We start from the raw sequence: 16,342 nt of genomic DNA on the forward strand, positions 1-16,342 counted from the left end.
CCCATGAGGTTAGAGTACTATTAGATATGAGAAGGGTAGAACAGGGCTGAAAAGGGCTTGTGATATAAAGCACTAATAATAATAATGCCAATTATTATGAGTATAATAGCCACCAATACTTACTGAGTACTTATTATGATCTAAATTTTGCCCCAAGCATTTCCCACTTATTAATTCTAATCCTCATCACAACACTGTAAGTGCTCAGACTGGAAACTGAGGCATTAAGAGGTTAAGCATCTATTAAAGGTCAACTTGGCTGGGCCTAATTCAAACACAGGTGATCTGGTTCCCAAGTCCAAGTTCTTAACCAGCATGCCTCATGAAGAATGTCGTTCTGTGTGTCAGTGTTAGGTTTTCCTGGCTGTGGACTGATTGTTCTCTCTGCTTTAATGCTTTCTGCGTTAGGATCATCCATCTGCCTGCATCAGAAAAGCAGCTCATATCATCAGTGTACTCAAGCAAAGCTTTGGAACACTGAGATCCTTAAAAAGCAAGGCAAAGTATAGCCAGGCAGAGAGGTATATTTTGTGGGGGGTTTTGTGAAACTTCCTCTAGTACAGAATGTGTGGTAAGCTCCAGAATTCTTCCCATTTCTGGTCATCACTTTGTCATGGACTGTCTACTCTGGATTTGTGTGGCTCAGGGATGTGGGTCCAGCGGTGCATTTACACACTCATTTAGCAAACACAGAGTCTGTGATGGGCATAGCACCATACCGGCAGTTAGACACAGGCTTACTTCTTTGTGAAGAACTTATAATAAATTTGATAAGGAAGATGCACAGTTATTAAGCACTAGATTTTTACTAGGTACTGTGCTTGGCATCTTATTTTGCCCCTCATTTGATTGTTCCAATACCTCTGGGAGGTTGGAATTATCCCCCATTTGATGGATGGAAAACTGGATTGCAGAGGGACCCAAGAAATTTGCTTAAAGTCACACAGTTAACAAAGGACAAGGCCAGGGATCAAACCCTGGAGTAAATTTAAGAAAAAACGGTCAATTGTAATAAGATTTGCTTATTATGGTGGATCTCTCAGAATCCAAAGAAATGAAGGGCCAGTTAGTGCTGGAGAGCGGTGGTTTTCAAACCACTTTCCATGAAAAATTAGTTCCAAAGGATGTTCCTTCAGAGAAAAACCAAATACATAGTTCTATAGTCAAATTAACGGTAGGAGACATATCCCATTTTCTTCTTAGTGATTCACAATGTTCATTAGCATGTTGAGTCCCCCCTGCTGCAGAAATTCTGCAGAAGGAAAGTTTTTAGACTTTGTTTAATTCATCCAGTGCTTCTGAATTTGCTGAGCAATGGTGATCAGTAGAACACTAGCTTGGGAAATTGTGCTTTGAAGGAACAAAGCCTTAGGAGAGGCAAGGTTATGGATAACCTGCCACTGAATAAAGTATCATTTCATTTGTGACTGGAGCCCCTTCGGGCTATCTTGATTACTGAGACAGAAGGGATCCAAGGCATGTAGTGTCAGCTTCCCTCTGCTTGAAGTGATTCTATCTGTAAAGTCACATTTGCTGCCTTAAAAAAAAAAAGCTTTAATTTTTTGTTACTTAATTCATAAATCATAAAATGCCCCTTGAAAGTATACAATTCAGTGGTTTTTTTAGTACATTCAAAAGGTTATACAGCCATCACACTAATTCCAGAGCATTTGCATTACCCTCAAAAGAAACCCCATACCTATCAGCAGGCTTCATTCCACTTAATGGCAACCGTGAATCTACTTTCTGTCTCAGAATTTTCCTCTTTTCGACATCTCATATAAACAGAGTCACACAATATGTGGCTCTTAAAATGTCTAGCTTCTTTCACTTAGTGTAATGTTTTCAAGGTTTATCTACGTGGTAGTACATGTGAGTACTTCATTCCTTTTTATGGCTGAGTAATGTTCCATTGTATGTGTATACCATGTGGCAATTGCAGTTTTGGAAAGCCAAGTTATATTAAGAAAGGACCAGTCTTATCCCTGACTGGGAAAGCATGTGAAGTGGACGACTGTGGTTTGTTGTGTGCCCTCTCTCTCACTTGAAGGCCCTATGGTTTTCGTTGAGTAACCTGATTCTCACGAAGAGCAGGTGAGTCTGGCCTGGCCCGGCCCATCAGAGGTTTGGTTCCAGTTCAGGCATGTGAGCCAAGCTAGAGTGTTGTTGGCTTCATCAGAAAAGAGGCCTGTTCCCTCGCTGGGGTCACTGCAATGCTAGTGTGCTAAGCTTTTGCCACCACTTGCAGAGAAGCTGCCTGAGAACAGACATGACATAAAGGAATGCAGAGGTATTTGCAAACCTACCTAAAACAGTTTGATCAACTAAAACCCATGAGTTGTTTTTGATTAATAATTGTTGCCACTGAAAGGTTTAAGGTGGATAAGGTTAACTACGCTAACGTTGCTACTGGATTATAATAAGAGCAAGTCTCAAACAAATTCTATCATATAGGCAGACAGTTAATAAATATTTTATTTCAAGCAAGAGCCAGTTAAACAAATTTGTTTTATTAGCTTTATGAATTTCAAAATCTCTATTCTTTTAGGTCTGCAATAGAGTCTGACTTCACTTTTTTGATCTTTGCTGACAAATTACACTTCCATCTTCATTCTTTTCCTCCCGCCCTACATGTGAGCAAGCTGATGAGAAGGCCTGGGTGCTCCCTGCTTTGTTGGGGAGGGAGATTCAAATCACATGAGCCTCTTTGTGTGAACTCTCTCCCTGGCAGCAGTCCCTAATCACAATAAAAACCCAGGCCAGTCTCCTTTCTTTTTTTGTGATGATTGATTTTATATCAACTTGATTGGGCTAAGGAAGTCCAGGTGGCCAATAAAACATTTGTGAGTGTTTGTGAGGGTGTTCCTGGGGGAGATTATCAATTGAAACAATAGCTGAATAAATAAAATCTCATCAATATAGGTGGCCATTATCTAATCCATTAAGAGCCTAAATAGAACAAAAAGGCAACTGAAGGGTGAATTCTCTCTTCTTGGTCTGGGAAGTCTATCTTCCCTTGCTCTCAGATGTGGACTACTGGTTCTCAGGCCTCTGACCTCAGAGACTGGGAGCTACACCATTGGCTCCTCTGATTCTCAGGCCTTTGGACTTGGACTGCATTGCATCACTAGCTTTGCTGGCTCTCCAGCTTGTAGAATGCATATCCTGAGACTTCTTGGCTTTTATAATCATGTGAGCCAATTCCCATGATAAACCTCCTCTCTTATCTCTATATATCCTGTTGGTTCTGTTTTTCTGGAGATCCCTGGCTAATACAGACTTTGGTATTGACAGTGGTTCTAGAGGAACATAATTTTAAGGATGAGAGTTCTGAATTGGTTGTGTGGTTTCTGAAATTGTCTCTCTAACGTGATTCAACTTAAATATGTTAGTGACTATTTTCAGAAATAAAAAGAGCACTGATAGTCCATGGCATGAACTGTTTATAGAGACATGCAAAACATCTACATTGGGTACTCCTAATCAACCACTTATAAGAAGCAAGGAGCTAAGTAACTCTGTATATGATACTCTTGAACATTTTTGGAAAAGTAAGGAATATAATGACATTGACTGTTTTCTCCTAACATTACTGGGCAAAGTGGTGAAAGAGAAGGATAAGCTTAAGGATTTGAATTTTTAGCACATATGCCACATAAATGACCTAAGGTCTGAGGGGAAAGCCTTGTTTCCTGGAGCTGTGGGGCTGAAATTGCCAAAAACCAAATGTAGGACCTTATCCTGTGACTGGCTGAATTACAGTGCAAGTTGAACTCCCAGCTTAGCAGGGTGACTACTGTTAAAGCGAGGTCATTGATTGGGCTTCTGTAAGTTAGGATAGGGAAATGTGGGAAGACTCTGTTGAAGCTGGGGGACATTGAGCCCCTCAATTCTGATGAGTCTTTTTTTTTGCCAGTAACAGTAGCCTCCTGCCTTCAGGGATTAACACAGCATTACCTGAGGAAATAGTAGTAATGGCTTCCTCTCAGACAGTTGCCATGCAAGAGGGTGCTAATTCTCCTCAGGACTTTCCCTGCTGGCCCCGTTGGCTTTAGATCTTTAACTAGACTCAATTAGACTTTTGTTCATTTGACCTGAAATTTTTCTGCTTATAGAGATCTCTTGAGAACTTATAGACTCAAGTTCCAGCAGTCACCTAAAGATAAGGTACAAAGTATGACCCATGAGGAGGTATACTGTACTCCAAAAGAACTAGGTTTTCTAATTTATATAAGCATAAATAATTTCTAATTTATGGCATGTGTGAAAATGAATATTAAGTGCGTGGGATATGGTGGAAGGAACATAAAGTTGGATCAGGATGAATTTATTGATGTGGGCCCACTAAGCAGAGACTTTGAATTTAATGTTACAGCTTGGGGAGCTAGAAAGGGCTCCGTTTGGCTGAAACATGGATCAAAAATTGGCCCACTGTGAGCTAATTGGATAATGTCCAATCTCTCTTGGTTTAATGTAGAGGAGGGGATTAAAAGGCTTGGGGAGATTAAAATGTTAGAGTAGATTTGTCATTTAAGACCTACCCACACTGGGAGGGTCCAGAAGATATAACTTTCACCAATACTTTGAGAAATTAATTTGTGACGGGAGCCCAAGTATCACTGAAGAGCCTTGTGATCACTCTTTTCTGCAGGCCAGACTTTACCGGGGGAACTACAGTCATTCACTTGGAAAGCTTAATACAGTGGGAGTGATTGGATCCTGGAGTGGCAGGGGCCAGCTGGTGACACACAACCACCAAAGGCAAAGTAGGTATAGTTACCAAAATGGACAGCGGAGTCAAAGTAGCATTCAGAGTAGTCCAATGTACACATATCTATGGCATGGCTAGTTAATAATCATGGTGTTCTTAGAAGTGAAATACATAGGAAGCCTATTACATTCTTGATCTCTATAAGCAGAAAAATTTCAGGTCAAATCAACAAAAGTCTAACTTGAATAATTAAAACAGTCATGGTCCTTCAGTAAATTCTAGGACTTGAACAAGTTTATAGACCCAGAACCCCTTGAATGAAGGAGAGACTGTGCCTACTTGAGGAAGGACCCTGACACACTATTGAAAACTCATACTGGTAATTACTCTCCCAGCCTTCCCCGGAAGGACTTGTGGCCTTTTACCATGGTAACTATGCACTGGGGAAAAAAACATAATTAGAACTTTTGGGGAATACTGGCCACAGTCTCTGAAATGACATTGATTCTAGGAGACCCAAAACCTTACTGTGGTCCTTTTATCATATGAAGACATGGTGAGCAGGCATTGTCTATGAACCAAAAAGCTGGTCCTTATCAGATACTAAGTCTGCCAGTGCCTTGATCTTGGACTTCCCAGCCTCCAGAACTGTGAGTAATAAATTTGTTGTTTATAAACCTCCCTGTTTATGGTATTTTTGCCATAGCAGCCTGTACAGGCTGAGATACTGTCTTTTCAAGCAGGTTCAAACAAGCCTGAGAGGCCTGCCCTGCTCTCCCTAGGGAACTCAATTATGGGTGGGTAGGGATGTGTGCTTGAGAGCATCATCAGTCTCCATATCTGAACCAAACTTTGGGTGTGGGTTTGTCCTGTGTCTGCAGAGTGGCCACATCAGTGTCTTTGCATGAAAGTTTCACTCGAGACAGAGATGATGGTATCCCAGAGGCAATTTCTTTTACCTTAAGGTTAGCATGATACAACCAGAAATCCTCCAAACACATGGCTTGACACGTGATTGGTTAAAGATTAAGCACTGGAGACCAGCGCTAGGGGTAAAAGCTGTAGGTCTTGAGGAAATGATATACACAGTTCTTGCAAGAGGGAAGAGCCTCTCAAAACTACTTTGGCCAACCCACATATCTTGAATAGCCTTAATTTTACCATTGAGAACCCATTCCTAACACCCATCATGCTACTTAACCAGCTAGCATTTTCTTAACACCTAAGGCTTTGCCAATTAACATAGTGATGATGGAGATATGGATAATAGAAGTATATAGAGTTATTGCCAGGGCTGGGCACGGTGGCTCATGCCTGTAATCCCAGCACTTTGGGAGGCCGAGGCAGGCAGATTGCCTGAGCTCAGGAGTTTGTGACCAGCCCAGGCAACACAGTGAAACCCCATTTCTACTAAAATACAAAAAATTAGCCGGGTGTAGTGGCGTGTGCCTCTAGTCCCAGCTACTTGGGAGGCTGAGGCAGGAGAATTGCTGGAACCTGGGAGACAGAGGTCGCAGTGAGCCGAGATCATGCCACTGGACTCCAGCCTGGGTGACAGAGTAAGACTCCATCTCAAAAAAAAAAAAAAAAAAAAGTTAATGCCTCTGGCAGCTTCCCTTTCTTATATAAGTGTCTATTAGAGCTACAACTTCTTTCTAGAATTGAAGCTTAATCAACATATGCATAATATTATGCTAAAACTCTTGAAAATTAAAGATCTTATAACACCTGCCTTCTGTAAAGAACCTGGATCCAGCTATACCTGATGCTAGACCTTTATGTGAACTTTTCAGTTCTACAATTCAATCAATTTCTTTTGTTTTCACTTATGCTAGTATAAGTTGGGTTCCTGTCAGTTAAGTCGTGAAATATTTCTGAACAAAATAGAGTGCCAGAAATGTAGACTAGCTGCTCAGCAAGCCTGTACTTGTCCCTCCTACTCTGTTCAATTAAATGATCTGATATTTGTATAATTTAATATTAAGGAAGACAGTAAAACCTCTTTCAGTATCCTAATTTAGGTCTAGTCCTTGCAGCCAGAAAATGCAAATCACATCTGCTTCAATTTAAGTATTGTTTTAAATTTCTAAGCTACCTTAGTGAAATCATCTTTCAGCTTTATTTCCCCCAAGCTAAACTTCATGGGTGGGCACTTTCTTGAACAGCCTTCCTAGAAGGTTTAAGCATTGGGACAAAAATGGAAAGCTTTGCTCAGCTTTAGACCACATGCTAGCAGCACAGTGGGTACTAGGATCTTTGAAAATGAAAATCATCACAAAAGAATGATACTTGTTTGTTTGCTTTATGCAAATCAGCATTTCCAGAGGACTCCAACATTTTAAAATCCAACTGAGGTTAAAAGCAACCAAAGTGCTTTGCCTGATAAATCTCTATCACTGCTCCAGGATGAAAACATGGTATTTTCCATTGGCTCTCTGCCGTTTTTGCCTCTTTAGGCTATTCAGACAGTGTTTATGGAGAGGAAGAAGAGCCGGAGTAGTTCAAAAGCCTCTAGACAAGGGAGTGTTTAGGCCCACTGGAATTTGCAGATGACCATTTCTGCAGTCACCCCCTTCAGATACCTAAATGCAAGGCACTGCATTCTGCACAGATGAGGAGATGGAGCCTGAGACAGATGTGTGTCATTGGACCTTACCCTCTAGTGGGAAGATGAACAATAAGTGAGAAATGGAATACATGAATAGAATGACTTTTAAAATGAGTAGTAAGTGCTACAAAGCACACTTACAGTGTTGTGTGTTGCAGGACAGGCAGGGGAAGATGAACAATAAGTGAGAAATGGGATACATGAATAGAATGACTTTTAAAATGAGTAGTAAGTGCTACAAAGCATACTTACAGTGTTGTGTGTTGCAGGACAGGCAGGGGAAGATGAACAATAAGTGAGAAATGGGATACATGAATAGAATGACTTTTAAAATGAGTAGTAAGTGCTACAAAGCACACTTACAGTGTTGTGTGTTGCAGGACAGGCAGGGGAAGATGAACAATAAGTGAGAAATGGGATACATGAATAGAATGACTTTTAAAATGAGTAGTAAGTGCTACAAAGCACACTTACAGTGTTGTGTGTTGCAGGACAGGAAGAGGAAGATGACTGCTAGACCTGGTGGGAGTAACAGGGTTGACAGATTTTAGGGAGTGGGGAGTAGTGTTTCTATTGAGATCCACCAGGTGGGGCCTCTAGATGCATAACTAAGGGGGCTAGGTATCCATTTGCTTGTGCACTTGAATTGTTTCTTCTAACAAGCAGCCCAAGTTCTACTTTGAGTATAGTAGATATGAGAATTGTTATGTAATTGTTCATTTAATACGGGATTGGGGGACGGGAGTGACAGGACATGGAAAGACCATTTTTCAAACCTTGTATTGTGTACTAAGCACTCACACCTCTCTTGTCTCCTCCCTCCCCCTAGTGCAGGGTGGAATATTTATCTGAAATTTCCTTATCTGCCTTAAACTAGACCCCCTTGAAAGGACACAATTGCCTTCCATTCCCTCCCTGAAATTTCATTATCCATCTCAGGTAGAACTGAGGAATGAAGCCACACCTAGACAGACTTTGTCACAAGACGTTGTCTGCTCTCCGTTCATTCAAATTCCAAAGAGAATCATTTATAAGATAATATCTGCCTCCTGGGTCTATTCATTCGCCCTAAAAATGTGCTTCTCCTCTAAAGTTGCCTATAGGTGCCTACTTCCCTCTCCCCTGTGAAGAGGGTATTTAAGCCTGCATTTGGCCCTTCTTAGGGTCTCTGTTTTTTTGTGTGTGTGAGAGAGTCTCACTCTGTTGCCCAGGCTGGAGTGCAGTGGCATGATCTCGGCTCACTGCAACCTCCACCTCCCAGGTTCAAGCGATTCTCCTGTCTCAGCCTCCCGAGTAGCTGGGACTACAGGTGCACACCACCACGTCTGGCTAATTTTTGTATTTTTAGTAGAGATGGGGTTTCACCATGTTGGCCAGGCAGGTCTCAAACTCCTGACCTCAGGTGATCCGTCTGCCTCAGTCTCCCAAAATGCTGAGATTACAGGCATGAGCCACTGTGCCAGGCCAGGGTATCATATTTTGTATGGCTACCATGCTTATGCACATAATACATTTGTATGCCTTTTCTCCTGCTAAGTTGTTTGTTGTCAGTTCACTCCAGCAAAACTTCAGAGAAAGTGGAAGGGAAGATTTTCTGCCCTGACAGCAACATAGGTAAGAATGAATAAAGCTGGAACCTGCCCTCAACTGGGTCAGAAGTTTGTTGGTGGAGAAGTGGGAGACCAAAACATGCCTCCCCAAAATATAAAGGATTATCAAGTTGAAGATAATTAAACAGATGCAGGACAACTCTCTGTCCTTCTATTTGCATAGAAGCAGGACATAAATTTACAAAGACCAAAGGTATCCTGCCCCCCTCTCTACCAGGGAGAACAAATGTTAACCACTGAGGACAGCTTTTAGACCCACCATTGGCCTGGAGATGATACAAGAGAAACATGTAATAGCAAGCTTTACTAACTAGCTGTTATTTGCCAGTTATTTGTCTTTCCCTGTGCTGCTGCCCAGAGACACTCAAATTACTGTTAATGGAAAAGTCAAATTTTGTAATATATTTTAAAGAGGTTTTTTGAGCACTGATATGAGTGACCACGGACTGGAGAAAACACAAACCCAAGAAGCCTTGAGTAAGTGGTCCTGAGGTGGGTAGATCAGTTTGGTTTTACACAATGTAGGTAGGCAGGAGTTACAGGCAAAGACACAAATCAATACATGGGAGGTATACACTGGTTCAGCCCGAAAAGGTGGGAATCTCAAAGTGGGGGCTTGCAAGTCATAGGTAGGTTTTAGGGATGTAGTTGAAAATTGGTTGAGAAGAGAGTCAAACTATCATCAGTAGAAAGAATTCTTGAATTAAGATAAAGGGGTTGTGGAGGCCATGGTTCTTGTTATGTAGATGAAGCCTTTTAGGTCACAGACCTCAGAGAATAGATTGTAAATGTCTCTTTTCAGACTTTTAAAGGCATCAGACTCTTAATCTCTCCTAGATCCTAGAAAGGCCTAGAAGAAAAGGCCTGGCTGCAATAATGGAGATTCACTGTAGGTGTAAAATTTCCCCGCAAAAGATGGCTTTGTAGGGCCATTTCAAAATATGTTAAAGAAATATATTTTGAGGTAAAAAATTCTTATTTCCTTCAGAGTCTGCTGTCATGTGACAGATCTGTCATGCTATATCAGGTTAGAAAGTAAGCCACATATCAGGTTAAAAAAGCCTTTTAATGAGATTTTATGGTTTGTAGGGTATGACTTCACCCCTTGCCTTGTGTGGCCTTAGGTCTTGTTTGTAATTTGGCATCTTATTACTACAGAGTCTGTTTTGTCAGTCCTATGATCTCTATTTTAACATTTGTGAAAGAGAAATATCTTGGTCCCCTTCATGCTGGGAACTGCTCAGGGCAAATCTGCCACCCCTTCTATTCAAAGTCATCCCTCTGCTCACTGAGATAGATGCATATTGCCTCCTTTGGAAAGGCTAATCAGAAACTCAAAAGAATGCAACCATTTGTCTCTCGCCTATCCTTGACCTGGAAGCCCCTCTCTGCTTTGAGTCTTCCTGCCTTTGCTTCAAGTTGTCCCGCCTTTCCAGACCTAACCAATAGACTTCTTATACTATATTGATTGATGTCTCATGCCTCCCTAAAATGTATAAAACTAAGTTATGCCCTGACCACCTTGAGTACATGTCCTCAGGACTTTCTGAGGCTGTGTCACAGGTGTGTATCCTCAACCTGGGCAAAATAAACTTTCTAAATTAACTGAGAACTGTCTCAGATTTTCAGGGTTCACACGTTCATGCTGGTCAGTTGTGCCTAAACTCCAAAAGGGATGGGATATCATGAAGCATGTCCTACTTCTTCCCGACGTGGCCAGAAATTCAGTTTTTCAGGTTTCTCTGGGGTCCTCTTGGTCAAGAGATGATCTGTTCTGTTGTTTGGAAGTGCTCAGGGTTTTATTTTTGGTTTATAGTACTTTTCCTTTGTCTTGTTACTTCAGCAAAGAACAGTTTTTAGAGAAGTGATAAAAGTCGGAATTCAAAGACACCTCTTTGAGAACTACTCATCCTCTGGATGTCTCCCATGTATATGTTAATAAACATATGTTTATTTTTCTCTTGTTAATCTGTATTTTGACACAGAGATTCATTCTTTCTACAAACCTGTGGGGTTGTTATTACTCCCCTACAATTTTTAAGTAGAGAAGAGTCACACAGGGTTGCATTTGGAGCACTCAGATTTGTGGCTGACTCTATCTTGCTTCTAGCCTCATGGGCTGTCTGTCTTTATTGACTTCTGGGCATAGGCCAAGCTAGCCATGGAGGAGATTTAGTTTATAGTTTAACTTGACAGCAAGCATAATAGTCCCTCCCTAAAACTAACTGCCTCCTTGCTCAGAGATCAAAAACTAATGAGAAGCCCTGAGATTAGGATGATGACAGTGTCCTGGATTCTGCTAAAATGTAGGCATAGTTTCTATAATCCCTTACTGCTCAGGAGTCATGGGGTCAGAGTTGCAAGATTTGTGACTTCCCCAGTTGCACCTATAGATAACATCAGTATTGTAGAACCTAAGATTGGTCTTTCATGATGCTTTTCAGACTGAGCCCACCTGGACTCATGAACCATGACTCAACTAGTCCTGTGGACCCCCGCCCAAAGGTGGACTCAGTGCACAAGGATTGTTTGCTACACCCCTATGATTGCATCCCCAACCAATCAGCAGCACCCATTCTCTAGTCCCCTGCCCACTAAACTATCCTCAGAAAACCCTAACCTCTGAGCCTTTGGGGAGACTGATTTAAGTCATAACTCCATCTTCTGTGTGACCAGCCTCACGTTAATTAAACTCTTCCTTTACTACAATACCACAGTCTCAATGAACTGGTTTTGTCTGTGCAGCAGACAGGGAGAAACCATCTGGCAATTATAGGGTCAGCAGAAAGGAATGTTATCTCTTGTGAGTTTGACTTTCTCCAGGCCCCTCAGGAAGAAACTTAGAACAATGAACTGTGGCCAGAGTACAGTCCCCAGCTCCCCCTTATTTGAGGTCTATGTGCTAGTGGATATGTTTGGGCGGTGTCGGAGTTTCTGAAAAATAACTCAGACATATGTTAAGATGTTGTTTTTACTTTCTGTAGGGGAATCGAACATCTCCTGACTCTAAATTTCTTGGCTATTGTTTTAGTCTACTATTACCTTCTTGCTTATCAAGTTGTTTATTTATTTCTCAGGGCTAGCTAGGTACCTGGAATTTCCCTTGAAGGAACTCAAGACTTCCCTATATTTCCATGTTTGGGGGGTTGGGTAGCAGGCCTTTAAGAGGGGCTCCTTGCTCTGTCTCAAATCCAAGAAACCAGTCCCATAGCCATTGAGATCTTGTTCCAGATGAAACAAGGAGCTGAGACTGAGTTAGGTCACCTTGTAACTGGATTTATTCAGGCTCTGGAAGGGCCTTAGTAGGAAGAACTGTTTGAAGGTTTAAAGAAAGACAGTATGGCCAGGCTTGGAAGTCTGGGAAGGGGCACCCCGTGTCCTGTATATGCTTGAGTTGACTTTACTGAACCTGACCAGATAAACCTTTTCATGAGTTTCCTCCCCCGGTAGTAATTACAGATTTCCATGAGCTGGCCTGCTCACTCTCACTGTGCAAGCATTTTCAAGGTCAGAGGTGAGGCCTACATTCAGGGAGCACTGACCCAGCTTGGAGCTAATTGGCCTGAAATGGTAGTTAGTGGGATTAGAGGGGAAGGGAGGGTGGCTGGCTTCAATTTTTAGCACATCATCACCCCTCCTCTCTACACTTGGTTTCTTGCTCATGAACATATGTAGACTTTCTAAAAGTGTTGGAGAACTTTTGATGGGAAGAGCAAAAACAGTGCCATTGATTGTTAGCCATTTGGATGATTCTATTTTTAGCAAGCAGGGAGAGCAGATTTGAGATTGAATGTCACCAGAGACCAAGTCTGCATGTCTCCTTAACCTCATTTGAGAGCAGTGGTTTTGAAACTACTTTAGAAACAGAACTTTTTTATTCCTTGTAACTGTTTCACATACTGAGCTTTTGTGTGAAAAACGGTGCTCTTGCTGTTTGGGGGTGGGGAGGGTCATGATCACGATCCACTTCTACATGGGGCCCCCTCTCTACCCATAAGTACTGTGTGGAACCATGGAGCACTGTTCTTGAGAAGCCATTTGGAAACCAACGTTTTGGTATATAAAAAAGATACACCAACTTATGTCCCATACAGATGGCAACTGTTAGCAAATCATGTACTCCGGAAAGCTATCCGTGTTGTCTTCATATCCTAATCAAGTAAAATTGGAAAAAACAGATAAAATACAAAACATAGACCGCTGTGCAAATGCTCAACAACTTGGATTTTAACATATACATAAGCTGTAAATTGAGTATGTTAAATCATGAGGAAGCACAAGTTCTTTGGAAGATAGGGATGTCTCTGCAGCCGGTCTAATTCATGGCTTCCTGTTGGGGAGAGGCTGGTAGCTTATGCTTTGGCTCTGCCTGCCTTGCTTTCTTTTACAATTATCTTCGTGGAAGCAAAGCAGCCACAAATGAACTTCAGGTAAGCTGGCGAGTACTCCAGCAGCCTTTCAGGGTGAGTCAGTCTGCGTCTTCAAGGCAGCAATTTGGAGACTGTAATGGGAAATCTGTTTGTTTTCTTCTTCCCACTCCCCAGCCCTGAGCCTCCCCTCAGAGATGGAGAATTAGTTAAAAAAAACAAATGAAGGAAATTCCCCTAAGAACCTTCCCGGGGAACAACAAAAACATCCATTGTAAACAGCAGGTTTGTCTTCTGACAGGTTTTGTTTGCAAATGATAACAATTACAGGTAATTTTTCATTTCAATTGGAGGAGCAGGTATTAAAAGAGAGGGTTGGGGAGAGAAAGAATGAGAGCAGTGAGATCTCCCAAGTGCCTTATTCACTCCCAGGTCTACAACCTAACACGAGTGTGGAGGGCTAGGTAGCGGCTCCTCATTCCATTAAGTGAGATCTAATTGTGGCTGCTCGGTCTGTTGGCAGATGCAGTTCCTACATAAAAACAGCCCAGAGACAGAGCTGCGTGATTAATGCCTCCAGCTGTCATATGCCCCATTATCTGTGCATTTGCATAACTGAATGGTTTAGGACAGGGGAGAGAGGATGCTTAATTTAATGTTTAGCAGGCCCTTGATAGCTGAATAATTTAAGAACTGTCAAGGGGGGTCAGTCCTACAGCGATTCAGCAAGACAGCTATGATTTCTGCATATCGTTAAAATTCTTACTTAGGAGAATTTTTTTTATTTTTATTTTTTTAAGGATAAAGAAAAGAACAACAATGCCGGAAAGCAAGCACTGATTTTTCTCCATTTAACCATTTCCTCCCAGAGGCAAATGGAAATTTGCTTTTGAGAGCAGTTAGATGTCTGAAGATACCTGGGAGGGAAAGTTTAAGCCTAACCCTTTCCTTCTCTTTCTTCCCCTCTGGATCCCAGGAATCTCTTCCCTCCCATTCTGATTTTGTATTCTCTTATTCTCTTTGTCCCCTCAACCATCTCACTCTTTATGCCATTTTATGACCCATTTACAATCCTCTCCTCATTCTACCTCCAACCTGTCATTTAGCTGAAAGGCAGTTGGGGGACGGACTGTGCAGGGGGTGGAGCACAATTTGCTTAAAATCAACTAACAGCCCAACCTGCTTTCAATAGGAAACACTGTCAGTTTCATTAGTTGCTAATGAATATTATTAAACTAATCTGTCATTTGTTTTCTAATTATGTGTCACCAGGCATCACAGTGGCAGCTGAGGTGACTGCTGGTGAGTAATTTCCCCACTTGCATCCCTTTTTTGAAATTCAGAATAAGAACAGCCAGGGATGATTAGCAATAATTTGATCCTGAGTAAATCCCCCACACCCCATCCCAGCCTTTCAGTAATAATTTTTCTCCCACACATTAATAAGAGCCAAGATCTTTCTCACCACCTGCTTTGATAGTCCACCCCCATGGCGAGACCCTGGCCCCTGTGAAACTTGGGAAAGCCTCATTTCTGGAGTCTCCAGGTCGACCCAGAACACAACTTCCTATCATTTTCCATCACAATTCTGTGAGTCTGGAATTTGGGCTGGACTCCACTGCTCCACGTTGCAGGGACTGGGTTGCTCAGTGGTGCTCATCTGGTCTGGAGGGTCCAGCTTGGTTTTGCTCACATGCCCAGTGCCTCTATGGGCTAGCTGGACTGCATGGCTCTGTGGGGGCTCTTCTTCCCCTCTGTGTTCTTTTTGGCAGTGTAGGTGACCTTCTAACATGACTGCTCGGGCTCTAAGAGTGGATTTTCCAAAGACCAGGAGTAGAAGCTGCCAGTGTCTAAAGACCTGGCTCCCATGGCATCATTTCATTTCCCCCATACTCTATTAAACAATGCAGAGTCCACCCAGGCTCAAGAGGTGGAGTAGACGCTTGCAAATGGGCGGGTGTCAGAGCCTGTGGCCATTTGTAATCAACTTCTGTGTCACCAAATGATCCATCACCAGTTCCCTGTCATAGTCCTCTGGACTTCTCTTTTCCCACCCCCACCTGATCCAGTCAGTTGGTTTCTCACCAACAATCTGAGTTCCCCACTACTTGGACCTTCTGCCAGAATTCTCCTGCAAATCCCCAAACATGAGCAATCTCTGCCTCTCCTTTCATCTTTATTTGAGCTGCTGAGTGCAGCCCAGAAAAATTGCACATCCCCAGAGTGGCCCCACTACAAACAAATGAGTTCAGATCTCAACTGCATCCTCAAAGCTGCCTGGTCAGCTTTCTCTGTGTTTGAGTTCTCTCCAATTTCTGGTGATAGTTATTAGACATATTTATTCCCTTCTGGAGTGCCCAACCTAGCTTTTCCCCTCAAAGGACTTTATTTGATCTAATTCTTAGCAGATGGCCTTGCCTTCTTCTCAGAGGCATGAACATCTTCTGTAATGCGCACACACCTTCAAATCCCTCTTTGTGTAGAGATGTCTTTCTCTCTTTTTAGGTAAGTCCCTTCCACCAACTACATCCTTCATTTCCACTAACTTGTCCTAGAGGACTTACTACTATTAATCACTCCTTCTCTGCGTCCATTCTCTTAGCTGACAAACATGCTCAATCTTGTTATTGAAATAATAACAGTGCTATGATTCTTGAAAGAGTTGTCTGCTTGACTCCCCTGCTTGTTGCAATCAGATTCTTGGACCTTCCTAACATTGCCTTGGCAAAGGTTACCAGAAGCTCCTGATCACTCTATCCAAGGGCCAGTACTCAGCTCTTACCTTGCTTGGCTTTTTTGTACCATTGACTATTCCTTCTCTCTTAAATGGTCTCTTTCTCTCTCTTTAGCTGCTGTTATTCTATCATCTCTTATGTCTTAGTCAATTTGCACTGCTATACAAAATACCATAAACTGGGTAGCTTATAAGTAACTGAAATTTATCTCTTACAGCTCTGGAGGCTGAGAAGTCAAAGATTAAGGCACTAGCACTCTGGTGAGGGCCAGATCATAGATGCTGTCTTCTTAATCCATCCTCATATGGTGG

At 42.1% G+C, this 16,342-nt stretch overlaps 1 long non-coding RNA gene across 2 annotated transcripts in view, besides 3 other annotated features; it reads left to right on the forward strand.

Annotated features, from left to right (window-relative positions):
* LOC107987083 (uncharacterized) overlaps positions 1-16,342 on the forward strand; it is a 122,361-nt gene that overhangs the window by 26,231 nt on the left and 79,788 nt on the right. The window lies entirely within an intron of this gene.
* Positions 9,395-9,961: an enhancer, noted in NCBI's record as "NANOG hESC enhancer chr9:81008146-81008712 (GRCh37/hg19 assembly coordinates)". NCBI's record gives its function as "activates a minimal SCP1, AML or CMV promoter by ChIP-STARR-seq in naive H9 embryonic stem cells {active_cell/tissue: H9 hESC(naive)}" and the evidence as "EXISTENCE:reporter gene assay evidence [ECO:0000049][PMID:30033119]".
* Positions 12,128-15,352: an enhancer, noted in NCBI's record as "VISTA enhancer hs1530". NCBI's record gives its function as "enhancer in: forebrain[3/3] | limb[3/3]" and the evidence as "EXISTENCE:transgenic organism evidence [ECO:0001131][PMID:17130149]".
* Positions 13,178-13,472: a silencer, noted in NCBI's record as "tiled region #1047; K562 Repressive non-DNase unmatched - State 24:Quies". NCBI's record gives its function as "represses a minimal TATA promoter and a strong SV40 promoter by Sharpr-MPRA in K562 cells {active_cell/tissue: K562}" and the evidence as "EXISTENCE:reporter gene assay evidence [ECO:0000049][PMID:27701403]".

This window comes from Homo sapiens, chromosome 9 (genome assembly GCF_000001405.40).
Source record: "Homo sapiens chromosome 9, GRCh38.p14 Primary Assembly".
Classification (NCBI taxonomy): Eukaryota; Metazoa; Chordata; class Mammalia; order Primates; family Hominidae; genus Homo; species Homo sapiens.